The sequence below is a fragment of the Homo sapiens genome, chromosome 1 (genome assembly GCF_000001405.40).
Source record: "Homo sapiens chromosome 1, GRCh38.p14 Primary Assembly".
In the NCBI taxonomy this organism is placed as follows: domain Eukaryota; kingdom Metazoa; phylum Chordata; class Mammalia; order Primates; family Hominidae; genus Homo; species Homo sapiens.
In genome coordinates, this window is record NC_000001.11 from 109,748,654 (window position 1) to 109,775,967 (window position 27,314).

General features: G+C 53.9%; 1 protein-coding gene and 1 long non-coding RNA gene across 19 annotated transcripts, besides 4 other annotated features; one reads left to right on the forward strand and one right to left on the reverse strand.

Moving 5' to 3' along the window:
* Positions 1 to 1,426: 1,426 nt before the first annotated feature.
* On the reverse strand, positions 1,427 to 15,270 carry EPS8L3 (EPS8 signaling adaptor L3). Of its 18 annotated transcripts, none has more exons than NM_024526.4 (19): positions 15,169 to 15,270; positions 13,066 to 13,120; positions 12,842 to 12,906; positions 11,025 to 11,183; positions 10,585 to 10,734; positions 10,409 to 10,464; positions 9,871 to 10,010; positions 9,663 to 9,778; positions 9,291 to 9,405; positions 9,149 to 9,210; positions 8,828 to 8,902; positions 8,364 to 8,512; positions 4,464 to 4,545; positions 4,033 to 4,067; positions 3,342 to 3,450; positions 3,001 to 3,129; positions 2,625 to 2,698; positions 2,007 to 2,139; positions 1,427 to 1,749 (listed from the first exon to the last, which is right to left on the reverse strand). In NM_024526.4, the coding sequence occupies exons 2-19, from the start codon at positions 13,094 to 13,096 to the stop codon at positions 1,738 to 1,740; spliced, it is 1,692 nt and encodes a 563-aa protein (NP_078802.2). In that variant the 5' UTR covers positions 13,097 to 13,120; positions 15,169 to 15,270; the 3' UTR covers positions 1,427 to 1,737. The 18 variants fall into 18 exon arrangements, 16 of the variants coding, with proteins under 16 accessions (NP_078802.2, NP_573444.2, XP_011540435.1 ...); NM_133181.4 differs by having other exon boundaries at positions 3,342 to 3,540; XM_011542133.3 differs by having other exon boundaries at positions 3,342 to 3,540; positions 9,663 to 9,802.
* Positions 1,760 to 2,959: an enhancer, noted in NCBI's record as "BRD4-independent group 4 enhancer chr1:110293035-110294234 (GRCh37/hg19 assembly coordinates)". NCBI's record gives its function as "activates an origin of replication core promoter dependent on BRD2, P300/CBP, MED14 and CDK7 cofactors, and independent of BRD4, by STARR-seq in HCT116 cells {active_cell/tissue: HCT116}" and the evidence as "EXISTENCE:reporter gene assay evidence [ECO:0000049][PMID:35650434]".
* Positions 11,212 to 26,775, forward strand: LOC124904258 (uncharacterized). Its single transcript, XR_007066303.1, has 2 exons — positions 11,212 to 11,297; positions 26,419 to 26,775. It is a non-coding gene; the product is annotated as an uncharacterized LOC124904258 (long non-coding RNA).
* Positions 11,913 to 12,642: an enhancer, noted in NCBI's record as "H3K4me1 hESC enhancer chr1:110303188-110303917 (GRCh37/hg19 assembly coordinates)". NCBI's record gives its function as "activates a minimal SCP1, AML or CMV promoter by ChIP-STARR-seq in naive H9 embryonic stem cells {active_cell/tissue: H9 hESC(naive)}" and the evidence as "EXISTENCE:reporter gene assay evidence [ECO:0000049][PMID:30033119]".
* Positions 20,926 to 21,881: an enhancer, noted in NCBI's record as "H3K4me1 hESC enhancer chr1:110312201-110313156 (GRCh37/hg19 assembly coordinates)". NCBI's record gives its function as "activates a minimal SCP1, AML or CMV promoter by ChIP-STARR-seq in naive H9 embryonic stem cells {active_cell/tissue: H9 hESC(naive)}" and the evidence as "EXISTENCE:reporter gene assay evidence [ECO:0000049][PMID:30033119]".
* Positions 23,454 to 23,748: an enhancer, noted in NCBI's record as "tiled region #10752; HepG2 Activating DNase matched - State 7:EnhWF". NCBI's record gives its function as "activates a minimal TATA promoter and a strong SV40 promoter by Sharpr-MPRA in HepG2 cells {active_cell/tissue: HepG2}" and the evidence as "EXISTENCE:reporter gene assay evidence [ECO:0000049][PMID:27701403]".
* Positions 26,776 to 27,314: the final 539 nt, after the last annotated feature.

Consider the following 27,314-nt stretch of genomic DNA (forward strand, 5'->3'; position numbering starts at 1 on the left):
GTATTAGGGTGGGAGTGACCCGATTTTCCAGGTGCCATCTGTCACCCCTTTCTTTGACTAGGAAAGGGAACTCCCCGACCCCTTGTGCTTCCCGAGTGAGGCAGTGCCTCGCCCTGCTTTGGCTTGCGCACGGTGCGCTGCACCCACTGTCCTGCACCCACTGTCTGGCACTCCCTAGTGAGATGAACCTGGTACCTCAGATGGAAATGCAGAAATCACCCGTCTTCTGCGTTGCTCACGATGGGAGCTGTAGACCAGAGCTCTTCCTATTCGGCCATCTTGGCTCCTGTGTTATGCCCATTTTCTAGAAGAAGAAACAGGCCTGGAGCAGTTAGGGGAGTTGCTCCTCTAAGCTTCAGGTCCCACAGATGGTCTGGGATTCAAACCTAGATCTGTCTAATAATGCAGTTGGTGCTGGTTTTCCTGCACTTGGCCATCTGAACAGCCTCTTGCCACATGGCAGTCTTCTTGGGAAGTCTGGGGAACACCAGGTGAAAACACTTTTTTCGGATCCTGGACGGTTTCTCTGTTTCTAGGCTCCTTTAGCTCTGGGAGGCAACAGAGGGTGATGGGTTAATACCTCCTCCCCCATCCCAAGAAATTAACTTTTCTGGGTAACTTTTGCCCTTGACAAGTCACACCCAAAAAGGGTCTCACCTTTTCTCTCTTTTGTGAGGGAAAATTGTTGCTTTCCTATTCTGTTAACAGCTATGAGAGATGATTTTCTGAGGCCAGGAACTTAAGGGAATGACATAGGCTGTCTAAAAATAGGGCAGTCTGGGGCCCAGACAATGTTAGGGTCATGGACACATTCAGGTAAGAGAGATTTAAGGGAACATCTTAAGAACCCTCAAATCCATAAGTACATTGGGCCTTATCTGTTGACTAAATCAATAAAAGTATAGCTACTGGTATGTAGAGAGGGGACTCCACTGAGATTAAAGAAAGCTACTTTTACTGAAAAATGTAAGAAGCTATGGACAGTCCAAACTCTTTGCTTAACCCTTGAGAAAACAGGGACCCAAAGAGTGGAATGACTTGCTGGAGTTCACCCAGCCAACTGGTGCAACTGACCAAAGCCTACAGCTGTCGGTCCTAGTGCACTTTGCTACTGTGAAGTGGTGTGCCTGCAGCTGTGCTGGGTGCCTTGGAATGTACTGAGAGACATGTGTGTGCAAAAAAGATGGTGAGCATAGCTTTATTTTGCAGTTTGTTTAGAAAGAGAGTCAGGAGAGCTTGGACCTTAATTCTCAAATTCTGATTCCCAGCTCCAGGTTGCTGTGTGAATGTCCACTCACATTCAAACAATCTGGCTCAGTGATGGATATAGGCTTGCTGCTGTTTTCATGCCAAATGTCCCAGCCCTTCCTGCCTCCCTGCCTTTGGTCTCCCTCAGGCCCAGAAGAAGCTGCGAGGGAGGCACATGACAAGCTTGAAGATGCTTTTATTGAGAAGGAGAGGGACTGAACAGATTCTTGACAAGCCTAGGCATAAATGCTCCAGGTTTGGGAAAGAGGTAAAATAAATAGGTGGTTACTGGGGAGGCTCCAACACAGCCAGAAGGGACACTGTTTGCTTCAGCCTCTGGGCCTGTCCATTGTTTTTGCTGTGTGAGCTGGGGTGTGGGGTTTGCTGCAAACTGGGATCCAGAAGAGGAATTCTCGGGGCTCTAATGGGTATCAGATCTGCCATCTTGCATCAGCGGGGCCTGGTTCTTGGAGGTGTCTAAGCTGGTGCCTAAGGGCTTATCTGAGGAAAGACAAAGATTCAGATGAGGCTGATGGCAGGTGAGGGATCTGCAGAGCTTATGCCACCAATAAGCTTGGAGCCTCAAGGTAAGCCTGAATGCATGAAGCTAAGCCCCTGGGGGAATATCCTGTGCCCAGCACCCGCCACACTCAGTTCTGCCCCAGGGCTGGGCCTGCAGGCTTTTCCAACTGGCCCTCTCTCTCACCCAGGAGCACCAGACACTCCCAATGGTTGTCAGGACCCCAGGGTGTCCTCACCCCCAGCATCCTTCTGACAGCCTCCAGCCGGGACAGGATTCGTGGGGCCTCCTGTGGACATAGCATCTGTAGCTCCCCAGGTCTTATGCGAAGTAGCTGGCTCCCCGTCAGGGACCCAAGTGTCCTCACCGTGCTGTGAACAAAACAGCAAAAGCCATCCGTGGTGGGCTGGAAGGACCCTGGGCCTGAGCGTTTGGGCAGAGACAGGGCTCTTTGGGCTCGGAGGTTGGGGTTACAGAAAAATTCATGGAGTAGGCTATCTGAGATTGAAGGAGTAAAGTCAGCATTTGGCTTCAGCCAATTTCAGAACTTCCAGATTTGAAAGAAGTGCTCTGGGAGAGAATCTTCTGGCTGGGGAGGGGCGGCTAAGCTGGCAGCTGGGGTTCTTCCCGAGTCCACTCCCCTGATCCTTGCTGCCTTTGCCACAGCAGAGCTCCCCACTTAATCTCTAATCTAGGCTTGGACACGCCTCTGCTCTGTCCTCTAACTCAGCAGAGACGGTGCTGGATCGGGGTCATGTACAATGTAGGCCAGGTTGTATGTTCTGGGTCTCTGGGTTTCCTTGGTTAGCCCTTTACAAAGTTTCTCCCTCCATATCCTGTAGGGCCAGGCACTCACGCAGTGGAGAAGTTCTCTGCCTGCAGCCAGTCTGTGACCTCTTCAGGCCTCGAGCTAAGTCGAAGCATTGGAACCTAGAATCAGGGGGAACCAGGGATCAGAGTCCATCTCATCTCACAGCCAACCACAGCCCCTAACATCTGGGTCCCTTCTCCAGGTTCCCATCAAATCACTTCTCTTACTCTGTGGCTTTCTGGTCTGGCAGGGAGCTGGTCTTGTTCTCTGCTCTGGCCCCATGATAAAGTTGGCACACTAAGCATGCAATAATACGGTCCGAATCAAACCAAGACTATCTCCTCTGCTTGCCACTGAATCCTCCCCACCCCGACCTCCAACTCAAGACTTAGGGCTCTGGATAGTCCAGGCTGGGTAGTACCCGAGAGGGTGACTGGCCCTGGGTCCCAGGGGTCCCCGGCTGTAGGGGCTCCAGGATGTTGCTTGGAATGTAGCCGCTCCGTCCCGCCTCATTCTTCACCAGCCACCACCGCTTGCTGTGGTCCAGAACCTGCCAAGAGTCACCACCTCAGTCCCCTGAGCCTCTTTCCAGCCAGCCTTCCCTCCCCACACAAGGCTTTCTCCCTCCAGCTCTTTCCTACCCTCCTTCTCCCTCTCTAGGCCACCCACCTTGGCAGCTCCATCCCTGGACCATCCACCCTTGGCTGCCTGTAGCTCCCACCAACCACCACCTCCTTTTCTAGCCTATGGCCCAAGCCTCACCTCCAGCTTCTCTCCCTGGACCACAGTCAGTTCCCGTGGGTTCCTAGCTTCAAACTCGTACAAGACTTGCATTTTCAGGGCTGGCTGGGCAGGTTTGGGGCTGGAGGGCCTGGAGTTGGGGTCCCCAGGCTGAGGGTCATGGTTGTGTGTCTTCTCCTGAGGAAAGTGTGAGGTGCTCCCTAACCTATGACTTCCCCGCCTAAGAAACAGAGTCAGGATGGCTGGAGAATGGGGCCTCAGAAATTAAGCCTATGTCCCAGCCCTGAGATTCCCCTCAGGTATCTCCGGCCTGCAGTCTGATGGTGACTTTTGGGTTTCTTTAGAGTTTGCTGGCAGGTCAGTGTTAGGTGGGGCTTTCTGCAGGCAGGAGGGGTCTGAAATGTCATTGATTTCTGAAGACATTTCCGGGAGTGGAATTTTCTACATCTGAGTTCTGCCCTAAGCACTTTATACTTGAGTATGGGAAATCAGAAGCATGTGTGGGTAGTATCATGAGAAGAAGCAATGGGAGCCTAGGAGGGTAGAACACTGTTTTTCACCCAAGGTAGGAGAGGGATGTCCTTGTACATGTTTTTCTGGCTAAAAGAGACCCTCTTGGCTCTCTTAAGATGTAGAGAGCCAGAGATCCAAAGGAACAGCCCTGTCCCTCCCTCCCCAGGACCACGCAGTCCCTATTAAGCTCAGAGCATACCGAAGGGAAACAGGGTCCTGGTATCCTAAGGGTGCCTGTAAGGGACAGAACAGAGAGTGAGTAAGAGCAGGAGGCAGCCAGCATGGTGGGAGGGAGCTGGGGTATCCGACCACAGGCATAAGCAGCTCACACACAGCTGCCTCCTATCCCCTTTCCTGCCTCCCCCAGTTTACAGATACAGGTACCCACATGCACCCACCCACCCACTACTTGGAGATGGGGCCTCAGAAATTGAGCCTATGTCCCAGCCCTGAGAGTCCCCCAGAATATCTCCTGTTTGCAGTCTGGTGGTGACTTTTGGGTTTCCATGGAATTTGCTGGCTTGCCAGTGTTAGGTCACACTAGTTGTGTGACCATGGTTTGGATGGGGAGGGCAGAAACTAGCCAGGGACTAGGGCTGTGGGTAGGGCTCTATGCCAAGCTCCCCTTACTTGGCTGGAGGGCTCTGGAAGTTGCCAGTCATCTGAGAATGTGGGTTGGTAGGGCAGGGGCTCATCGCCTGTCCAGTCGGCCCTGAAGAGGGAAACAAAGCTGAGTTCACATCCACTCTGTGAACTCTGATGCCAGGCTGTGGGACGCGGACAGGGAGGGGACGACAGGGCCTAGCCTCAGGAATCTTTTGGCTAATAGGTGACATGGTCCATGTGCACAGATGAAAGGCCCCAGGACACCCACAAAGGAGCAAGCAGTTAAGCCTGGACACATCCCACGGTGCAGGTGTCTGGGGGTCAACCTCACCTCTGCCCATGAGGTAAAGATACACCACCTCCGTAAGAACATGATGGACACTTCATTGCCCTGATTGGGCATTTGGATTAAAGTAGTAGAACTACAAGAGCTTTTGGGCTGGCCAACACCCCAGGGGTCTTGTGCAGTATTTTTCTAGGCTGTTTTTAGTTTCCCAGCAGCAGATCCTTTTCTTTCTAGCTAAATTGTCTGTGGATTTCCACCCAGTGAAGTAGACAGCAGCCGAGCTGCTCCTGTTGACTGACTCTGGGATGGGCTGGTCCTTGCCTCTCAGCCTCCCCCTCGCCCATTACACAGGGCCCAGGAGGACCATGCTGTTTGTGGCCTTCAGGCTTGCCCTGCTTGGAATATTTTCCACTTGTCTGCCCAGGGAATGCCCATTCATTTCCTTGAAGACGTTCCCCTCCTTGCTTCACTGGGGCAGAAGTAAATATTCTGCTGAACTTGGTACATCCCTAGGTATTGCTCTTCTCACACTGCATTGCTCATGATTCTTAGCTCTTTGTTTCTTACTATATATAGATTTCCTTGGGGGCTGTACCCCTAGTACAGTGGCTGATACATAGGAGGGAGCTATTAAGTGTTTATTCAATGGGAACAAAGGAATGATTCCCTCTTCTCAATTTTCTTAATTGTTTCCTTCTGTGCCTTAGAAACATGCTTGGGTCTTGACCCTAATACTACTCCGTATAAGCTGTCATCCTATTACTTTCTTCTTACCAAATTTCTTGAGAATGTGCCTATATCCTCTGCCTATATATTCTTGTCTCTGTTTCTTTCATTATTTCTGCAACCTGGTTTCTACCTCTGCCATTACTTTATTGAAGCTAGTCCATTTAAAATCCTGATTGCCAAATCCAATGGCCTTGTATGGTCTCTGTCCTTCTGGATGACCACAACATTTAGTGTTACTTATAGCTTTGGGTCAATTTGCCAAAAATCAAGTTATCTAAATATAATTTGCTTGAAATTCAACTCTTTTGAGGGTTTTTACATTTCTTTAGGTATTCTATTTTCTATGTTTCTGTCTTTCATTTATTTCTGGTTATGTTAAGAAACTAAAAAACATCTAAGGGCACATCTGACAATATTACATTTAAAAGTATTTATCAATTGTACATCATTTTATGAATACTGAAGTTGTTTTGCATCTTCGTGGGTATTTAAAAAATAATATGTGCTAATCTGTTTTTCTAAGGACTCAAATTGTAGAAGTAAGGCTGGGTTTTGAAACACAAAATGGTGTATTCGACCTGGTTATTCAATGTTAAAGTGGCTGAATGAAAGAACTTGAGGCCCTCTTGTTTGAGTCTATTGTAGAACCTCTGTTTTCCTCTCCTGCTAGTGCTAGACAGATACCAGAGCTATTCCCACAGACAGTGGGAGCCCAGCACAGCCCTAGGAACTGTGAGACTGGCTTATTCAGGTACTCTTAGTCCCAGGGTTTTGGACAAGGGAACTCTGGTATGAGATGGGAGGTCCAGAACTGATAAGTAATTTCATTTTAGTGACTGCACAGACAGTGCATAAAAATAGATTGTTATGGGTGGAAACAACCCATCTGTCCATCAACAGATGAATACATAAATAAAATGTGTCATACCCATAACAATGGGATATTATCCAGCTATAAAAAGGAAGGCAGTTCTGATAGATGAATGAATCGTGAAGACATTATTTTAAGTGAACAAGCCACATACGACAGGACAAATATTGTATGATTTCACTTATATGAGGTTCCTAGAACAGGCAACATATTCTCATAGAGACAGAAAGTAGAATAGAGGTTTCCAAGGGTTGAGGAGTGGGTAATGGGGAATTATTGTTTAATGGGTACAGAATTTCTGTTTGGGATGATGAAAAAGTTCTTGAAATACTGTAGATAATGGTGTTGGTGGCACACATTGTTAATGAACGTATTGCCACTGAATTATACACTTAAAACGGTTAAAATGATAAAAGTGGTTAATTTCATGCTATGTATATTATACCATAATAAAAAATAGATAGTTTTGAACTATAATTCATGTCTTCAGACAAACTGGACACAAAATTTTGTAAATGGGGCTGAATTGAAAAGAACTGGTCATGGCGGGGTGCGGCAGCTCACGGCTGTAATCTCAGCACTTTGGGAAGCCGAGGTGGGCGGATCCCTTGAGCTCAGGAGTTCAAGACCAGCCTGAGCAACATGGTGAAACCCCATCTCTACAAAAAAAATACAAAAAATAGCCAGACATGGTGGTGGCACACAGGTGGCACACCTGTGGTCCCAGCTATTCGAGAAGGTGAGGTAGGAGGATCGCTGGAGCCAGGAGGTGGAGGCTGCAGTGAGGTGAGATCATCATGCCACTGCACTCCAGACTGAGTGACAGAGCGAGACCTTGTCTCAAACAAAACAGAAGTGGTTATTAGGCAAATAACTCCAAGAAAAGACTCATTTCCCTGTTGGCTTTTCTGCTTTTCTAAAGCCTTCTCTCTTGGTTTTCATCCCTCTGCTCTTCAGGTTCTCCTTAACTCTCTGGAATTATTCTCTGTCTTCTTAACCCTTTTTGCACTTGCCATGTAGAAGTTTGCCAAGGCCCTTGCCTCTTCTTTCATGGAATAGAGCAAACTATGCTTGTCAAGGTACGTTCAGGGGCTCCCTCTGGAGTGCTCCCCAGTAGCTGTGCCTCTAGCCATCACATCTGGGCATCCCCTCTCAGCTGCCTGGCCACCAGGCCTCTGTGGAATGTTCCAAGGATGCCTCAGCTCAGCGTGCCCAAGCTGGTTCCTCCCACTCCCCTGGCTCTCATCCGTTTGGTTTTTTGTTTTGTTTTGTTTTTTGAGATGGAGTTTTGCTCCTGTTGCACACACTGGAGTGCAGTGGGGCGATCTCAGCTCACTACAACCTCCGCCTCCCAGGTTCAAGTGATTCTCCTGCCTCAGCCTCCCAAGTAGCTGGGTTTACAGGCATGCACCACTACACCCAGCTAATTTTGTATATTTAGAAGAGACGGGTTTTCACCATGTTGGCCAGGATGGTCTCGAACTCCTGACCTCAGGTGATCCGCCCACCTGGCCTCCCAGAGTGCTGGGATTACAGGCATGAGCCACCGCACTGGCCCTGTTAGGTTTTTTTGTCCAGCTGCCCATCTCACAGTTACCCCTGCAGGGAGTATCTCTGTCTCTCTTAACCTCAGGCTCATTGGTTGCCAAGTCTTACTGATATTACATTTGCAGCATCTCTTACGTCAGTAATTCTTAAATCTGGGGCTGGATTGAGACAAAGTTTTCACTTTGTCCTTGACAAAAATGAGAAAATATTTTAGTAGAAGGTTGCCATCTCCCTTTTCTTGGGAAAAACTGTTCTTTTTTCTGAGATAACATGTTTCAGTAGTGGGTGATGGCAAGTGTGCACTTTTCTTTTGTTAATAAACTGTTGGCACTTAGACAAATAAAAAGTTGGGAACTCTCTGTAGAGTCCCCCAAGTAGCTCTGAAATATTTCTGGTTTGTGACAACATAGAGCCTGGCCACCTCTGATGTCCTGCCTGATGCCTCCATGCCCCTCACCCCCGATTCAGTTCAGGCTTTGTCTTCACTCACCGGCTAGTGGTCCAGGCTGGGCCCAACCCCATCCAAAGGTTACTCTCAGGTGGGCTTAGACAGGACTGTAGCAGGTTGATAGCTTTAGGGGTGAGGAGGGGTGAGATCACTTGGGCTGCTAGGCCAGCCTCAGGGCACCTGGCCAGGATCTAGGGGAGAGATGGAAGGTGTCAGGAAGCCTAGGCTCCCACAGGGCCCAGTGAGGGTGGGAAAGGCCCAGAGTCCCTGGCTTCCCACTTTTGCAATGGTAGGATGTTACCTCCTGCAAGGGGCCCCATCTGCCTTGGGCCTGCTGCTCCTTCCTGTCTCCCTTAGAGCCTTGGCGTCCTTGGCTCTGACCCCAGCTCATCTGGTTCCACCCTGGCCCCTGCTCCCCCATCCCCCTCCACCAGCTCCTTTCCTCTCTCTACTCCTTCTTGACTTCAGCCTGTCCGTCTTCACCACCCTGTCGTCCCTTGACTCACGAAGTTCAGGGACTTGAAGAGGATGTGTACGAGCTCAGGGGCACTTGTCTCCTTCAGCCAGGTGGCCAGCCTTCCCTGGGGACACAGAGCAATGCCTGTCACCACCCTTCACCCCACCCCATCTTCACCAGGTCACCATAATTGTTTTATGCCTTGGCTGGAAGGCTGGCACTTCCCAAAAGTCCCAAGAGGGGAGGGGAGGTTCTAGGGGGAGTAGATGAAGAAGAAAAAGGCTTGGGATGGTTGAGTCCAGACAGCAGAGGATTACTGGGGAGGAAGGGGAAGAGGAGAGGCCTGGTGAACTTGTGGGGAGCCACCTACCAGGAGGTTGAAGCTGTGCTTGATCTTCTGGAAGCAGTCAATGTACTGTGCCTGGGTGAGACCTGGGAGAAGGGGCCAAGACGGTGGGCCAGAGATCACCCTGAGACACCCCTACTCCTCTTCCCTGGCCCTCAGTACTCACCTCCCTGGTCCTTGTTTTTTTTCCCAAATTTCTTCTTCCTGCTGGTCTTTGCCTGGGCCTTCTCCAGCTTTCCCATGAACAGCTCAATGTCCCTTAGGACATGGTTCAGCACTTCCTGGGCCCCAAACAACCCATGGCCTTGAACGGGCAGTTGGGCCCACCCTGGAACTCCCCACACTGCCCCCCGCACCCCTCCCCACCACAAGCCCCAGCCTCAGGCCCAGCCTGGAGTATAAACAAGCCTCTCTGGCCTCCTGGCCCAGGCCCTGGCCATCCTGGGACCCTGGCCTCCTAGAAAAAGAGGGAGGGTTGGTGTCCTTCCTTTTCCCAGGCCCAGAAAGCCTCAGCAAACTCAAGACCATCCGCAGTTACCTCGTCCCTCTCTGGGTCCTCGGGGGAAGAGGACCGCCTTGGAGGAGGCAGAGTAAAGGCACTTGGTTCTCGGGCACTGGTGTGGCGTGGCAGGGGCCTTGGGGATGGTGGGAGGCCTGCAGTGTAAGGGGACCATGGACCTAGATCTTAGATCTTTGACTTTTCATCGAAACCCTCTCCTTCACCTGCCCCCATGCCCCAAACTTACTGTGCTCTAGGGTCCTCTGGTGGGGCTGTTCTGGAGGGATCCCCGGCTCCAGATAGCGTGCCTGCTCCATAGGGAGCGGCCTTTCCATAGCAGGCCCCCTCCATCTGTCCTGGCCTGGCTGAAGGCCTCCAAGTCGAGGTCTGCTGAGGACATGGTAGGGGCCACATCTTTGACAAGGTTCTTTGGAGAGAGGCCCTCCCCACAATTCTGCTCCAGGACCCAGGGGCACCACCACCTCTCTCCAGGAGTCCCACCCCCTGCTCCCTGGTCTCCTTCTGGACCCACCCCTGACTCCACCCTGCCTCATCTGCCTACCCTCTGGGCCCTCTTGGGTCCCATCTCAGTCTCTGAGGACAGTCTCTAGTGCCCTCTGGGCCCAGCCCCTTGCCTATGCCCACCTCTGTCCTGGCTCCTCCTCAGTCCAGGCCCAGGTTGGTTGGGCCACAACCTCCTGGGTGCCCCAAGATATGGGGTCAGGGTCTGGCCCCCGAGGCTGAGCTGGGAGGCCCCATAGGTGGGCTGGGCAGAGGCTGCCTACCTTTGCTCCAGCTCTTCCTCCAGAGCCTTCTGCAGGCTGGTCTTCAGTCGCTCTGCCTGGGAAGCAGCAGTCAGGCAGGCTAAGTGTGTGTGTGTGTGTGTGTGTGTGTGTGTGTGTGTGTGGTGGGGTGATGGTCGATGAACCCCACCCCTGACCAATCACCCCCGACCACTCACCCCCACTTCCTGGCACTGGAAGAGCAGAGTGCTAGTGCCTGGCAGGCCCGGCTCCTGCACGGTGATGGACAGGATGGAGTTGTAGGAACATGTGTTGAGCGCCACATTCATGGCCTGGATGCTGTCTAGGCGGTAAGAGTCCAGCTCCTCCTGGGCCAGGTGGAGAGGTCAACTGTGAGGCCACCAGAGCTAGGTGTGGCTTCTGGGAGCTCCTGACCAGCTCATCCTAGCCCTTTGGTGGCCTAGGGCTGAGGTGTCATCTACCTGACTCTTGTGCCTCTGTCCCCAGCCTCTGTCCCCTGTCTCTTCCTAGGCTTGGGTGTGTGTTGTATGTGGGGAGAGTGGCTGCCCTTTGGGGCATGGAGGGTGGAGTTCAAGAGCTAGTGCTTGCTTCCCCACAGCCCAGGCTGGCTATCACTGGGTTTGCTGGGAAGGCTGACCTTGGTCTCAATGTCCAGCAGCTGCAGCCAGCCGTCCCTGACCTGCAGGATCAAGTCTTGGCTCCACACCCGGCCCTGTGCATCCATCTCGAACAGCTTCTGCAAGGCATCCTCGGGCCCCTGGACTCTCTGACTCCCCTGCTTGCATGTCATCAAGTGCTGCAGGGAGAGGGGGAGTCCTAGGACTGGGAGAAAGCTCAGAGAGGTGGACCACAGGCGTGCTGGGTAGAGAAAAGCAGAAGAGGAAGAAGACGTGTCCTCGGCCCCCTTGAGGTAGGAGGTTCCAGGCTTCAGATAAAGCAACTTTCCAGGGCCAATGTGAGGGACGGTGTCGAAGCACTGGGGCCAGGGATAGGGCCTCCAAGTCTGAGTCTGAGGGGCTGCAGGAGGGGTTTGAGGACTCTGGAGGAAGGACAGGCATGGCCTTTACTAGTCCAGGCCAGGTGAGGCAGCTGGGTGGTGGAGGATGTGGGCTCCAGCCACCCAACAAATAACTCCTCTGGAGGTGATACAGGACCCTCAGATTCTGTCCCTGGCTTCCTTTGTTCCTTTTGGGAACTCAGTCCCAGCCCAGTCTTCCTCCTCACTCACCCAGCATTCCTGTCTCCTTCTCCCTGGTTCATGCCTGGAGATATCCATCGTGATCTCAGTCTCCGCTCAAGTCCTTGCCTACTGCTAGGCTGACCATCCAGGAGTTTTTTGCTGTTATCCACTCTCCTTTAGGAGCCCCCTCCCTTCTCCCAGCCAAACATTACCTTCACAAGGCCCCTTCCACCCAGGCTTCTTGTGGTAGGGAGATGCAGCCTGCCTCCTGCCCTTTGACCCCACCCCCCTGCCCAGGGCCCAGCTCTTCTCCCTGTGTTCGCACTGCCAGCATATTCAGGGGACTCTGGCATCATGAGCAAACTCCATCCTCCTCTTGCTCTGCCTGCTGGGCCTAAAAGAAGCCTCTTCCCAGCCTCCACCCTACAGAGAAGCTGAGTCCTCCTGGCCTCTCCTCGGCTGGCTAGGGGAGCTCTGCCTCTGCTGCCCTGTGGGACCTGCTGCCCTGTGGGACCTGCAGACCATCGCCCCAGCTCCCTCCCTGCTTGTTCTCCATTGGAGCCACTAACAAGTGGTGGCCAGGACAGGATGGCTTCTACCCCAGAGCTCCAGCCTGACCCTCTGCCTGCTCTCCCCACCACGCCCTTGTAGCCTGTGCTTCGCCTTCACCTTGGTGTCGACAGCCCTTCAGGCACCTAAATCTTGCAGTGCCTGCATCATCCTCCCTGGTAGAGCCAGAGACTCCATTCTAGCCTTGGAGCAGCCTCGGAGCTGCTCACAGTCACCCTGGAGGCTTGGGCCCAGGTGCCTCCCCTCTCCAACAGTGGCCCTCTCAATCCCCCACAGGGCCCAAAGATCCCAAAGATCCCACACACTCCTGCCTCCAGCCATGCAAGGTCTTGGGCAATGGAGCAGTGCCCTGGGGACTCGGGCAGCAGGGGGTTGGGAGACAGGGGAGGGTAGGTGGGTGGGTGGTTGTAGGTGCTTCTTATCCCATCCTGCTGCTACTTCTTCCTGTCTGGGGACAGGACACTCACCCGCTCAACCTCCAGCCAGGCCTGCTCTGTTCAATCTGACCACCCCTCCCCGTCCCTGACACTGAGCAGATGCTCTGGCAGGCTTGTTGGATCTGAGTCCATGCGACATGGTTGGGACAGGCTGTTGGCTTCTGGGGCAGGGACTTGTGTGAAGTGTCCATGTTCTGGCAGGGCGGTGGGCACATGGGAACACTTGGGTTTAGTTGGACACTGCCCGGGGGCTGCAGAGGTACTCACCTCCACCCTGTGCTGCAGGAGGGTGGGCTCTGAGGTGAGGTTCTGGGAGTACTCCTTCCGGTGCACTACAAGGGCACAGAGCAAGGGGCGGGAGGTGGGCAGAAGAACGAGGTGAGACTCAGGCAACTGCTGGGGGCAGTTGGTGTGAGGAAGGGGGAGTGGAGGATGGGACATTCTGGGGGCTCAGTGGGAGGGCACGGGAGAGGGGCCTGCCAGGAGCTTACAGTAAATGGCTCTGCTGCTGGGCCTTGACATGTTGACGCTGCTGAGGACGGCTCCCTAGAACCCAAAGTGAACCAGAGGCAGCCATCAGAGCTGGGGAAAGGTGTACCAGGCACAGCAGGGCAGGACAGTTGCTATTGCTCTGACTGGGGGCCTCTGGGACCAGACCCAAAGCCCCTGGCTCCAGGGGCCCTTTCCGGAGCCATCTGCAGCCAGCGTCCTCCACTGAGGAGCCCTCCATCCTGGCTGGGCCTGGAGGCCCCGGGCTGAGGGAAGGGAGGGTCAGGGAGGCCACAGCATGGCTGGGCCTCAGGGAAGGCTCCAGGCCTCCCATGGTTTGGCTGATAAAGCTCATGCCAAGGAGCCCAGGAAACCTGGATGGACAGGGACCTGCGTTCAGATCCTATCTTGGGCCTGGGTATGAAAGATGCTGGATGAGCAGAGGGTTCTGTAGCCGACCCCGCCAGAGGAGGCCCTCTTGTTCGACCCTGTTTCAGTTCTGCAAACTGAGAGGACGCTGATGCTGGCTCTTCAGCTGTAGACCCTCTGGGAAGACTGCATGCATGTGTGTGTGTACTTATGGTGGCACTGCAGGACTCGCCAGTGAGCTGACCTCCCCCAAGTGTCTCCCTAGGCCTCCTGGCTCTTTGCTTTTTGTACTCTGTATCCTCTGCCCAGGTCCCCTCCTGACCCCAACCCTTTAAATTCTAGCTCAAAGATCACCCTCTTGGTGAAGCCCTCCTGGACCATCCAACCCCACCCTGCCCAGGGTACCCTCCTAATGCTGCACTGGACCTTGTACATTTATCTCCAGCAACAATAGTCACAATAGCCACCACGGTGCTGTGAGCCTGGTGCTGAGCCCCTTACCAACATCCTATCAGTTTCTCCTCACTGCCGTCCACTTGTACTTACTTGGCGCCACGTGCCTAGCACTGTTCTAACGGCGTTACCTTCAGTCACTCTAATCCTCAAAACAACCTCACAAGGCAGGTACTGGTATTGTCCCCATTTACCATATGAGGACTCTGAGGCTCAAAGACGGTAACAGGCCTGAGGTCACAAATGAACGTTTAATAGAGAGCAACCCAGATCTGTCCGATTGCAAGCTTCGTGTTTTAATGGTTTATAAACATGCCTCTGCCGCTGGGCTGTGCGCAGTCACAGAGGGAGTCTAGAGAACATACATGTTGAAATGGAGTGGAATTAAATGTGGTGTGTGTGTCCCGGGTGGGGGTGGTGTTAGTCTGTGCGGGTCAAGGGTATGTGTTATCCAAATGAGGTTTGTGGGTATCCACATGTCTACATGGTACACCTCAGTTGTGCAGAAATACTGGACTACCCCGGGTAACATGTGAGAGAGCAACCCATACCCTTGTTTATTAGGACTGTTGTGAAAATGACGTAGGATCTGATAAGATGACTCAGTGTGGAAGGAAATAAACTGCCAGTGAACAATTAAGGGAATGTGGAAGGGACGGCTGGATCTCTGGTTTCCTTGTTTGGGAGGACCCCTTTTCTCTCCAGGGGTAAGGCGGGGCTAGAAGCCTGTTCCCCTTCCCCAGCCTCCCCCAACCCCCATTGTAACACTTCCTGCTTCTCCATGCTCTCCATGCAGAAGAGGAAGTGAGGTCTGCCCCTGGTCAGCCCCACTCCCCACTCCCTCAACACCAGGGTGGGCCCTGTGGGGCCCTCTAGGTAGGTAGGTCAAGGTGGGGAAACAGCTGCAGCCAAAGATTCCCTACCCCAGGGAGGGAAGAGGGAGCTGGCTTGGCCTGCCTTGCCCCTTAGGGGTAGGGGAGCTGTGACAGCCCATTTCCCCCCTTTAAGCCCTAGATGTAGGGGTTTGGAGCAGGGAAGGCCATCACCTCATAGACCCTGGGGCAAGCATCCCAGAGGCCCTTCCGGAGCCTGGACCTCGCTCTGCTTTCCAGCCCACCAGCCAGCTGCTGAGTCCCAAGCCCCTCCTTGGGCTTGATCCCCTGGGCTGCAGCTGGGAACAGGCTGGAGACCTGGCCTGGGAAGCCACTGAGTTGCCCCCACCTGCCCTGAGATCCCCTGTGACTGGGCTGGGCCCCGATCTTCCCTGGGGGCCAGGCCCTTACCTGGGTGCCAGTGAAGGCCGGGTGCCTGGTCCCCCCAGGAGGCTGGTCTTGGAGCAGGTGGTCCGGTGCTGGTGGTGGAAGGACAGCAGCTTCTCTGCTAGTGGCCACAGGCAGAGCCTGCCTTTGATGAGGTTACAGAGGCAGCCACGCCTGTGCTCTTTGGACTCTGGTGGGTGGGGAGGCTTCCTGGTCACTAACCGCTCAACATCAACCTGGACCTGCGGCAGTGTCTGTGCTGACTGGCGTCCCCAGCTTAGCTAGAGGCCCCTGCTTCCCTGTTTCCCCCACTGCTAGCCTTGGGGTGTGGCCCCCTCTTCCCTCTGCCTTTTAGGTGCCTACTCTGGGGAACAGGTCAGCATCAGGCACGGGGCTGGGACCAGAAGAAGAGAGCACACATGGCCCAGAGTCTGGGTTCTGTGGTGAGGGCACAGGTCGGCTGGAGGTGGACTCCAGGCTTGGGGGAAGCTGTGGGCTGGCGTGTGTGCCATGCCTGTGCGTGGGTGGCACCCATAGGTGTGTGATCCTGTGTACCTGGGTGGTGCCTGTGAGCAGGACATGGATCTTGTCACAGAAGATGGGGACTGAGGCCCCTGGGGCATTACATGGAGCGCTGAGATTCCCTCTGGCAGGGCCCTCATTCTGTCCCTACTGTTGTCCCTTCCAGCAGGAGCCCCCTTACCAGCCCTTTCTCGCTCTTCCACTCTCTTTCCTTCTGTACCCCATCTTGTGCCCAGACCCCTGGTGGACGCCTGGCCAGCTTCAGCAAAGATGGAAAACGGAGGCCTGCATCTATCTCTAGTCATAAACCTACCCACTTCCTGCACTCCATGGTATCGAAAAATCTTTCTTGGCACTCAGAGTGGGCCAGGCTCCCCTGCCCTCTGGGAACTCACAGTCTAACCAACAAGGCCAGGTATAAACAGAAACCAGGGAGCAGGGCAGGAGGGGAGGCGGGGGCGGGGGAGTGCCAGTGAGCCTCGGACCCTCGTGGGCAGAATGCAGGGTCCCGGTGCTGGGCCCTGTGATGGAGTGTCCTGTGGAGTCTGAGGGCTGGAGCACTCCCATCTTTAGCTTCCCTGGAACTATCCCAGGATATCTCAGCCTTCTCTCCCATCACCACCCAACCAACGCTGCCCTGGATGGCCTGGAGTCCATGCGTCAGATCCTAGGGAGGTGCCTTCCCTGTCTGGGCTGTGTGTGTCCCTGGGAGAGTCCAGTGGACAGCCAGCTGCTGGGGCCCAGGGATCAGGTGCCTGTGAGGCCAGCACCCAGCCACAGCCCCATGGGAAGCAGTCCTGGGGTTCTTTCCCCTGGGTCCCCATCTTGTGGCCCTTCAGCTTCTTTTGGGATAGCACAGCCTGTCCCCTCGTTGCCTCCCCCAACTCCGTGAAGGCCACAGTCATATTTCACCCCAGCCCTGGCTTGGGGCTCAGGCAACACCTCATTTCTGCCCAGCTCAGGCCAGGCCCGTCCTTCCCATAGGACCCTCCCCAAGTCAGTGTGAGCACAGCAGGGACTCCTGGGGGGGCTCTGGGGCAAGGTGGGCAGGGGCAGAGAAACAATGAGTGGCATTCCCAGCACCTTGCCCTCTGCAGTGCCCTTTAGGGGTGCCCCTGGGAGCAGTGTGTGTCTCCTCAGACATAAAGCCTTTGTGGCCTTGGTGGGTCTGGGGCTTGGGGCCAGGTATTGGGGACATCTGCTTCTGTGGAGCCCCCTGAGGGAAGAGGGAAATCAGGAAAGAGGGAGAGGCCAAGCTTCCCATACCTGGGGACTTGGGGCCATAACTGAAGCTTCTGCACAAAGCTCCGGGTGCCACAGCAGCTCTTCTGCAAGGGAGTTCGGCTGAGGCACCAGGAGCTGGGACTTAGGTTGGAGGGGAAGGAAGCAGGACTCGAAGGGCATGTCCTTGAAATTGTGGGGTTAAAAGGCTGTGGGACCACATTCGTTCATTCATTCCACAACTTCCTGTAGAATTGAGGGCTTCCTGCCTGCTAGGCACTGTGAGAGGTGCTAGGATCCCTCTGGAGGGCTTACAGACACCTTGGAATTCAAGCTGAGTTCATTATTTCTCAGCAAACCATCTCCCCTCTCATGCTCCCATCTCAGGGAAGGCATCAGCTCCCAATCGTGTGTTCCAGCAGGGAGGGGAGTCCTCCCTCAATCCTCACACCCAATGGACTACCCTTCCTGCAGTCCCAGCTCTGTGGCAAGTCCTAAGTGGCCCCCTTCCTCTCCACCCCACTGCGACTGTCTTCCTCAGACCCCATTACACCTCCTGTCTTCGACCCTGCGGCCGTCTCCTCACCCACGCCCTCGCTTCACTCTTGTTCTCATTGATCCTTACTGGTTGCTGGTAGGGAAGCTTTCTTAGCTGGAGATTTGATTGTCCACTCCTCTGCCTAAAACCCCTCAGTGACTTCCCGCTGCTCACGGGACAAAACCTAAACTCCTTCTCAGGGCAGTTGAAGTCCTTGATGAACTCAAGTCTCCTGCTTCTGAGTCTGGCCTTATCTTCCCCCCAACTCCCTGCCCCTTGTACTTTATACTCGGCTTGGGGCATGGCTTGTAATTCCTTGAAGGGTCACACCCTGGTACCAGGCTGGCTGCTGTTCTCTGTCTGGCATGCCCTGTGGACACGCTATGGCTTTATGTCTCCAGTAGCCCTCCTTCAGAAGCCTTCCCACTGCCCAGGGCTGGTGGGGCTCTGGCCCGTGGCTTCCAGACACGTTGTACATGTGTCCCTCTGTTACTGCATGTATCACATTGAGGGGGATACCCCCATGACTGGGGTCCCTGTGGGGAAAAGAAAGAGAGATCAGACTGTTACTGTGTCTATGCAGAAAAGGAAGACAAAAGAAACTCCATTTTGATCTGTACAAAGAAAAATTGTTCTGCTTTGAGATGCTGTTAATCTGTAACTTTAGCCCCCAACCCTGTGCTCACAGAAACATGTGCTATATTGAATCAAGGTTTAAGGGATCTAGGGCTGTGCAGGATGTGCCTTGTTAACAATATGTTTGCAGACAGTATGCTTGGTAAAAGTCATCGCCATTCTCCATTCTCTGTTAACCAGGGACACGATGCTCTGTGGAAAGCCGCAGGGACCTCTGCCCAAGAGAGCGTGGGTATAGTCCAAGGCTTCCCCCCACTGAGACAGCCTGAGATATGGCCTCATGGGAAGGGAAAGACCTGACCATCCCTCAGCCCGACGCCCGTAAAGGGTCTGTGCTGAGGAGGATTAGTAAAAGAGGAAGGCCTCTTTGCAGTTGAGATGAGGAAGGCCTCTGTTTCCCGCATGTCCCTGGGAACAGAATGTCTCGGTGTAAAGCCGACTGTTCGTTCTATTCTGAGATAGGAGAAAACCGCCCTGTGGCTGGAGGCGAGATATGCTGGCAGCAATACTGCTCTGTTACTCTTTGCTACGCTGAGATATTTGGGCAAAGAGAAACATAAATCTAGCCTACGTGCACATCCGGGCACAGTACCCTCCCTTGAACTTATTTATGAACAGATTCTTTTACTCACATGTTTTCCTGCTGACCTTCTCCCCATCATCATCCTGTTCACCCTGTTCTCCTGCCACACTCCCTTTGCCGAGATAATGAAAATAGTAATCAATACATACTGAGGAAACTCAGAGACCAGCACCGGTGCAGGTCTTCGCATACTGAGTGTGCTGGTCCCCTGGGCCCACTGTTCTTTCTCTATACTTTGTCTCTGTGTCTTCTTTTCTCAGTCTCTCGTCCTACCTGACGAGAAATACCCACAGGTGTGGAGGGGCAGGCCCCCTTCAGGTCCCTGAGGACCCAGATTGTTTTCTGCCACTGTCTAGAGGAGAGAAGGGCTTGTAAACAAAAGCACTGTAGTATGCAGGCATAAAGAACCTTACTCGGCTTGGGGGTGTCAGGGAGGACTTCTCAGATGAGGAAATGCAAGGGCTGGCCCTTCAATGACACACAGGAGTTCAGCCAAGAGGTGAAGTGGGCAGGGAATTGCAGGCAGAGGGATTGCAGTCCTACTGGATGAAGCGGCCTGGGGAGAAGATGGGTATGGCGTGAACTGTGTGTGTGCACGCGTGTGTGTGCATGTGTATGTGTATGTGGCGGGGAGGTGGTGGCAGATGACAGCATATGTGTGCCGTCATCACCTGGTGGTGAGTAGAGCCATTGAATGGTTTTGCATGGAGATGCAACAAGAAGGCTACTGGGTCTTCTGTCTTGTGGAAGACGCTGCCGCTTGCTGGTTCTCAGCATATAAAGAGACCCAGGTGCACAGGCTTTAGGCTAAGGGGCCAAGGAGCCCCTCCCACCACCCTGGCCTGGGCCAAGAAGCAGGGTGGGTTCCTTGGAAGCTCCAGAGCAGGCCCTGGTCAGAGCTGGGAAACTCTGGAGGGCTCTGAGGAAAAGAGCTCTGTGTTCATGGATGACCATGCAGGGGGTAGGGCAGGGCCCTGGCATTCAGAGGTGAATGGGTGCCGCCTCACCTTTAGAACCAGACCCCAGAGCAGGGTCCAGCCAGCACCTCTTGCTGGTGGACTGCATGGATGAGGCAGCCTCAATGTCAATCAGGGGCTGATTGACAACTCTTCTTCCCAGGCCGCTTCATCCAGTAGGACTGCAATCCCTCTGCCTGCAATTCCCTGCCCACTTCACCCCTTGGCTGAACTCCTGTGTGTCCTTTAAGGGCCAGCCCTTGCATTCCCTGAGTCATGGTGGTCCTGTCCAGGGGCTGACACCTGGCCCTGGGGCTGCTGGGGAATCACAGAGACAGCTCCCATCCCTGCCCCTGCTTTCCCCAGCCCTGGCACAGGGGTAAGTGGCTTCTACGAGCCAGGTGGAGACATAAACAAGAGAGATGATGTCCCTCCCTCGCAACTAACCTGCCAAGGTAGAAGAAACAAATGTATCTGAAGATAATCAAGGTCCTGACAAGTGACAAGAGAGAAATAGAGTGAAGTGGATGATGGCATGGGGGTGGGAGGGTGTTTGGAAGCACGACGTCGGAGAAGGCTTCTCTGAGGAGGGGAGCTTCAAGCTAAGCCAGGGATGGGAAGGAGCCTGGGAGAGGGGGCCAGCAATGTGAAGGGCTTGCAGCTGAGAAGGAACGAGCTGGCGGAGAGGTGACCGAAATGGGGTGGACAGGGGCCAGAGCACACAGGGCTCCGTAGACCATGGCCAGGAGCCTGGTTTTTATTCCAAGGGCAGTTGGAAGACACGGAGGGGTTTTAAATGGAGGAGTGGCATGATTGGATTTATGTTCTAGTCACAACTCTGGCTGGGGTGGGGAGAATGGGCTGTGGGGGGAGTGGGGGCGGACTCAGGGAGACCACAAGCAGCTGCTGCAGAGAGGGTGGTGAGGCCTGGACATGGCAGGGCAGTGAGGATGGAGACTTAGGCTGCAGGTGGAACGGATGGGACATGCTATGGATTAGAATGGGGGTTGAGAGGGGAAAAAGGACCTATTAGGACTCAGGTTTTTGGCTTGGACAACTGGGAGGGTTATGGTGACATCTGGTGAGATGGGGAAACCGAAGAGAAGAGGGATTGGGAGGCAGGGGGATATGAAGAGTTACTGTTCCATTCTGGATGGCCTCAGTTTGAGAGGTGTTTTGGGCCTCTGGGTGGAAGTAGCAGGAAGGCAGGGGCAGGTGTGAGTCAGAAGCTCAGCAGAGCAGGATGACCACATGCAGGCATTCAGAAGCATGTGGAGAAAGATGATTCAATGATGCGGGGAACGTTTGCAGTGTAGAAGACAGTAGATACTTGGCAGCTGTAAATACACGAATAACATTCAGAGACCTAAGACTCACGAGACCACATGCGGGAAAGTGTATAGATAAAGAGAAGGGGGCTCACGACTCAACCCAGGCGCTCCAACATTAAGAGATTGGGAAGGATGAGGGGAGACTAAGGGGCTGCCAGTGAGCAGCAAGGAGAGCTGGGAAGAGAGTGTTTCAGGAAGGAGGGGTGGACACCTGGGCCAGGTGCTGCTGGGAGGTGGAGGAAAGGCTACCATCTGTGGGTTTGCAGTGGGGGCTGGAGCCAGCTGGGGACGGCTGAAGAGTGTGAGGGTGAGGAGGTGGGCTGTGAGTGAGTCGCCGAGTGTAGACAGTGGGCATGGGAGGCTTTGCTGGGGATGGGATGGTGGGCCAGGGATGACATACCAGAAACTTGTTCAGATGTGTTCAGGGTGGAAGACTTGGCATAATGGCTAGTGGGAACACACTACTGCAGAGACAGATGAGACAACAGAGATCCTGGGCGCATGGCAGGAGGGCGGTTTCTGTGGGAGGGCAGGGGAGAAGGTGGGCTTGTCTCTGGAGCCTCTGGTCACACCTGGGCTAGACTCTGCCATGCTGCCCACCCCTCCACCTGCCTGCCCTCCTCGATAAAGGCAGACGAAGGGCGAGTGCGTGATTTGAAGGCAGGGGGGTGATTTGTAGCCCCACAATTACAAGAGGCCCAGTGGCTTAAGTTTTCAGGAAAGAAGGCCAGGCCTAACGTGCTTCCAGAAGCTGCTCTGTCCGGGGATGGACTGGGGTTGGGATCTCAGACCCGCCCCCATTTTCCTAGCTCTCCTCGGTGCCTCCATTTGTTTAAACCCCAAATCTGAAGCCAGTGCTCAGGGCTATGAATTCTCCTGCCTTTTCCTCATTGCCCTGGCAGCTGATGTCGGTCCAGATGTTTCTCAGTTCCCGATTCTGGGCCTTGGTTCTGCACCTTCCCAGCCCTGGATCCCCTGGGTGACTCCTACACATGCCCCCTCCTTCTTTCCCTCTCTTCTGCATCCCATCCCATCCAGGTAGGCAGTCCCAGGAGCCTGGATTACCCTGGCCCCACTGCCCTGACAGCCCTGGAGGAAGGGACCTCAGGGACATCTGGAAAGCCCTTCTCCAGAGGCCAGCCTTGGACTGGGCTTAAGAACAGGCTTCTCAGGAGAGCTGGGCTGGAGAGGAGGAGAGGAATCCAGGGCCAGGCTGGGAGGTGGCTGCTGAGGAAAGAGCAGCCTCCGGGAAAGGCAAGCCCTAGGGGATCTCAGGGGAGGGGCTTGGTTGGGTCCAGCTCAGTCTATGCGGCAGGTGGGGAGAGACAGGGAGAGGCGGTCCCATCACCATGCAGGACCATGCCCTGGGCCCCCTTCCAGGAGCTGGCGGCACTGAGGCTTCTTCCTGGGCCAGGCCTGGCCAGCAGCCACGGGTATGGAGGGGAGAGGGCCTGACCAATGCTGCCCGCTCCCTCAGACACTTCTGCTCCTGCCCCCACTTTAAACCACTGCCCAAGACCAACACAGTGCGGCCATTCAGATCCATGTGGTGAAGGGATATTCAGTGATGTGGAAAAGCTCCCCATTAGCCTTAGATGAAAAAGACAAGTTACAAAATGTAGATCTTAGTTTTGTGAAATAAGCAAACACACAAACAAATAGGTAAATAGAAGTCATATAACTTGAAACAGAAAAGTCTAAACGAAACCTGTAATCATAGACATCTAAACAGGAAACATGGCAATTATGTAAATACCCAAACATAGAAACGTTCATGATGTAGTATATGGTGAAAAAAGCTTCTTACAAGTTGGTAATATTCAATTTTGTTAAGAAAAGTTGTAATGAAAATCTAAACAAAAAATGTCTTGAAGAAGAGACACGAGAAGAAAGAATGTTAGTTATCTTTAGATGTGTGTCTGTGTTGGGATGAGGGGACTTCTTTGTGGTTTTACTTTCTTTGTGCTTTTCTATGTTTTCCAACTCCTCCCCAAAGAACATGTTATGTTATTTTTGTAATCAGTGCATCTCCATTCCCATGTCACCCCACACAAAATAAATGGTAATTTTTAAAGTAAGAAAACAAGACAAAAATGTCCCAGAAAGGGACTCCTTCTGCAGCCCTGGGACTCTGTCTTGCTCCCGAGGGGTTGTCAAAGGGTAAGAACAGTGGCCCTGGGACTGGGAAGGCCAGTAGGAGGGCTCAGCTCCCCTCTGTCTGATGTGTGGCCCCTTTGTGGTCCCAGAGGCTCTAGGCTATGTCCCTGAGGAATTCCTAGGTCTCAGGCCAGAGCCAGGCCTCATCCCAGTTGGCATTGAGTGGTCCTAGCCTTCCTGAGCTTCGGGGAGGTGTGTGTCTGCGTGTGCATGCGTGTGGGTGTGTGTGTGTGCATTTATGTGTGTAGGTGTGTGCACAGAGCCAGCATGGAGGAGTCTGGGAGCCCCTCCTTGGTTTCTTGGTACCACACCCCACACATATTCCCAGGTCAGCACAAAGCAAGACTTCCCCTCCAGGATTCAGCTGCCGAGGAACCCTGCTAGGGACCAGAAGCTCATCACCTCCCCAGCAATGCGGGCCATGGAGGGGGCTCTCCATCGCACAGAGGAAGTGGTTCAGCGTCAGGAACACTGGGTGTGAATCCTATCTCTGGCTCTTAGCCATGTGGCCTTGGAACCTGAGTTCTCTGAACTTCGAGTTCATCCTTTGTCAAAAGGGATGATGATGACTGCATGGTTTATATAAGACAACTTGGTCACATGTCTGGAGCAGGGGAGGGGCTCCATAAACAGCCTCCTGAAAGTCGACCTCCCTGTAAAGACTTCCTCTGCTGCTAGCCATCCCTGTGCCACCCAGAATAGATCTGATCCCTCTGAGGCACCTCTTCCCCAGGCAGGCTTTCCCCAGCTCTTCTGCCACCCTGGATAGCAGGCTGCCCAGGCTCACTGCATCTTCATCTCTCTAGAGTAGTTTCTCAAATGCCTGGCTCCATGGGACTGCCTGGGAAGCCTGGTTAAGAATGTAAAGTTCTAGACTCTATCCATGGAGAGTCTGATTTAGGAGTTCCAGGAAGGAGCCCCAGAATCTAAATATTTATAATCTCCCAGTGGTTCTAATGGGAGCCCGTGCTCTACCCGCTTCCAGTTGGCAATGTCCTGTCTTAAGTGTCACCCAGAAGTGACCAGTGCCAGGCTGCCACCCGACCAGCTTGAACCTGAGAAGTCATCCCTCCAGCTGCCCCTGCTCTCCCCACCCAGCCTCCTGGGTGCCCCGGGGGTGTGCTGTGCCACAGCCAGGCAGTGCCACTCCAGAGACTCTTGCTCTACAGTGCTCTCCCTGAAAGTGGGCAGCAGCTGGAGCCAGGAGCCCTGGCCTCCCCAACTCTGCCCCTCAGTGGATTCTGTGCCAGGAATATTTGTCCATATAGACACCTATGCAGACAGACCAAAGGGCTCCCAGAAGGAGCTGGTGAGCTTGGCCTGTGGCTCTGCAGACCTTCCCATCAGGCTGAAGGGGTCCCGCCCTGCGAAGAACATAGGCCACCAAAGATCTTGCCCTGAGAGGCCTACCCAGAATTCCAGAACTGTCCCCAGTGGATGTAGGCAGCTGTGGAACAGTGGGTAGGGGACCGCCCCTCCACCAGTGATCTGAGATCCAGAGGCCCTCAGAGAAAATGCCGGGACTCTCCAGCCCCAGGGCAGCTGGGAGACCATGGGGAGGACGGTGACCTCTGTGATTCAAGGCAGGCATCCACTGTGTCTGGCCCTTCAGTCCTCTCAGAATGTGGCCCTCTGGACTGGACGGGGCCGAGAGAGACCCACCATCCCTCAATTCCCGACTCCCTGAGGCCATCCCTCAGACAGGGTGCTCACAGCCAGCCAAGGCAGGCCCTGTCTCAACTGGCCAGCTCTGACCATTAGAACATTCTTCCTTAGGCCAAGCTCAGACCTGCATTCCTGGAGCGTCCCTGCAATGTGCCCCTCTCTGACGGCAAGCCCTTCAGATATTTAGAGATGGTATCACGCCCTCCTGGAGCTGCCCAGAGACCATCAGAGCCAGAGCCCCTGGGTTCAAATTAAACTCTTGGAACCTCAGTTTCCTCATCTATGAAATGGAGACAACCATGGCCTCTATTTATGGAACGCACGCCCTGGCCAGGCATTGCATTAAGCATGCCACGTGCCTAGCACATAGACATTTATTAAGGCTTCCAGATCCTTGGCCAGACGAGTGGCACTGGTTCCTGGCTGTCTGCGGAGAGGTGCCGGCTCCCTCTGCTGGAAATAGTGAGTCGCAGTCAGGACGGGAGAGGACAACGTAGAACTGCACTCTGGGTGGGAGGGACCTCAGAGATGACCTGGCCCAACATGGTGTTTTACAGATGAGGAAACTGAGGCCAAGGGTGGCCGCCTCACTGGATGACCTCTTTGAAGTTTGCCTGTGTGGGTCCCAGATTGGGGCACTCTCTCCTGCCCCCCAACCATGTGCTGCAGAGAGGAGCTGGGCAGTTTGGTTCTAATGGGCTCCCTGACTTCTGAACCTCACTTTCCATTCCAGCCCACCTCATCCCTCTGGGACTACTGGGTGGAGTGTTGGGAAGGACACCGCCAGGATGCAGGCACAGGGCAGGGGCAGGGGCTCCAGCTGTGCACTTCCTTCCCCCAGCAAGCTGCAGTTCCAGGGAAGGTCCTGAGGGCAAGGCAGGAGGTCAGGAGGGTGGGGCGTCAGGAGGGCTGGGCTGTGGCATCCACCCACCCACACCATGCCTGGGAAGGACAGAGCCCACAGAGCTGGGGTCTCCCAGCCGGTGCCACTCGGGGAAGCGAAAGGGAGCTGCACAGACATCTAGGTCCAGGCTGCATTTGCTCATCCAGCTGGTAATATGACTGATGGGTAGAGAGGTCCAAAGGGACTTCCAGTGGGGACACTGGCAGACTTGGAAGATTCTGGAAACTTGTAGCTTCTCCGTGCTTGCTGTTCATGGTACTAGCTCTCTGCTAGGAGCTATGTGATGTGCTTTATGGTTATTATTTTTCTTTTCTTTTTTGAGATGGCGTCTTGCTCTGTCACCCAGGCTGGAGTGCAGTGACGTGATCACGGCTCAAGTGATCCTTCCACCTCAGCTTCCTGAGTAGTTAGGACTAGAAGGGTGTACCACCACACCCAGCTAATTTTAAACTTTTTTGTAGAGACAGGATCTTGCTATGTTGCCTAGGCTAGTCTTGAACTCCTGGCCTCAAACGATCCTCCTGCCTTGGCCTCCCAAACTGCTGGCATGACAGGCATGAGTCACTGTTCCCGGCCTCTTTTCAATAATACTACAACGTAGGTATTATTAGGTCCATTTCATGAATGGGGAAACTGAGGCTTGGAGATTTAAAGAAATGGTCAGGTATCTAGAAGAGCTGTCATGAGCCCATGTCCTCTGACGTGAATGCCTTTTCACTAACTGCATTGCCTCTCATCTGTTCTTGTCTCTGTACCCTCAGTGAATAGCCATGGAGCTCCTAAAAAGAATGGGACCTTTCACTTGACCTCCCTTCTCTCCCTTGCCTACTGCCCCTGAGCGAGTGCTTCAGCTACAGTCTGGGAGCCGAAGATGCCTGTGTTTGATGCCTCCAGCACCCTGTCTCTGCATCTTGAATCCAGCCACGTGACCATCTCTTGCCCACCTTTGGCCAATGTCCCTGAGACATTTCAAGTGCATCATGCTGCAGACTGGTGTTGCTGTCTCCACAATACCGCGCTTCCCCTGTGTCCCCATCTCAGTCTTTGGTCCCACTATCCACTTCCCACATGCAGCCATTGAGTCCTCTATTTTTCTTCCTTAAATCTCCAGAATCTGCTGACAGTTTTACTTCTCTGTTATTATTGCTTTAATTCAGACCCCCCCCCCCACAATCCTTTACCCCTTATTCCCCCACACCCTCCCGAGCCTTTCCTGCCATCTCCTTTCCAGGGGATACTCCCTTCTGAGCTCTCTCCAGCTCTGCCCAACAGAGTTTTCTAAAATTCCAATCTGCACATGTCACTCCCTGGCTTATAAATCCTTCAGTTGCTCCCATGCTTTAAAAGAAAATCATACACCTTGACTTTGCACATGGCATTTGAGCTCTGCCTCTGCTGGTTACCAGGTCTCACCCTTCTGCTGCAAACCCAGACACAAAGACAACCCAAAGCTCCCTGAAGGCACCTGCAGCACTTTGCCTCTCCACACCTTGCTGCTGCGTCGGCCTCCCTGCTTTCTTTGCTTGGCCAAAGCCTCATCTTCCCTGCCATCTCACCTCAAACATCTCTGCCTCTAGAAGGCTCCCTGGACTCCCCTCACCCCTCAGCTGGTTTGGCGGTTGTGATCTGAGATAGCACACCTCTTCTTATATCTCTG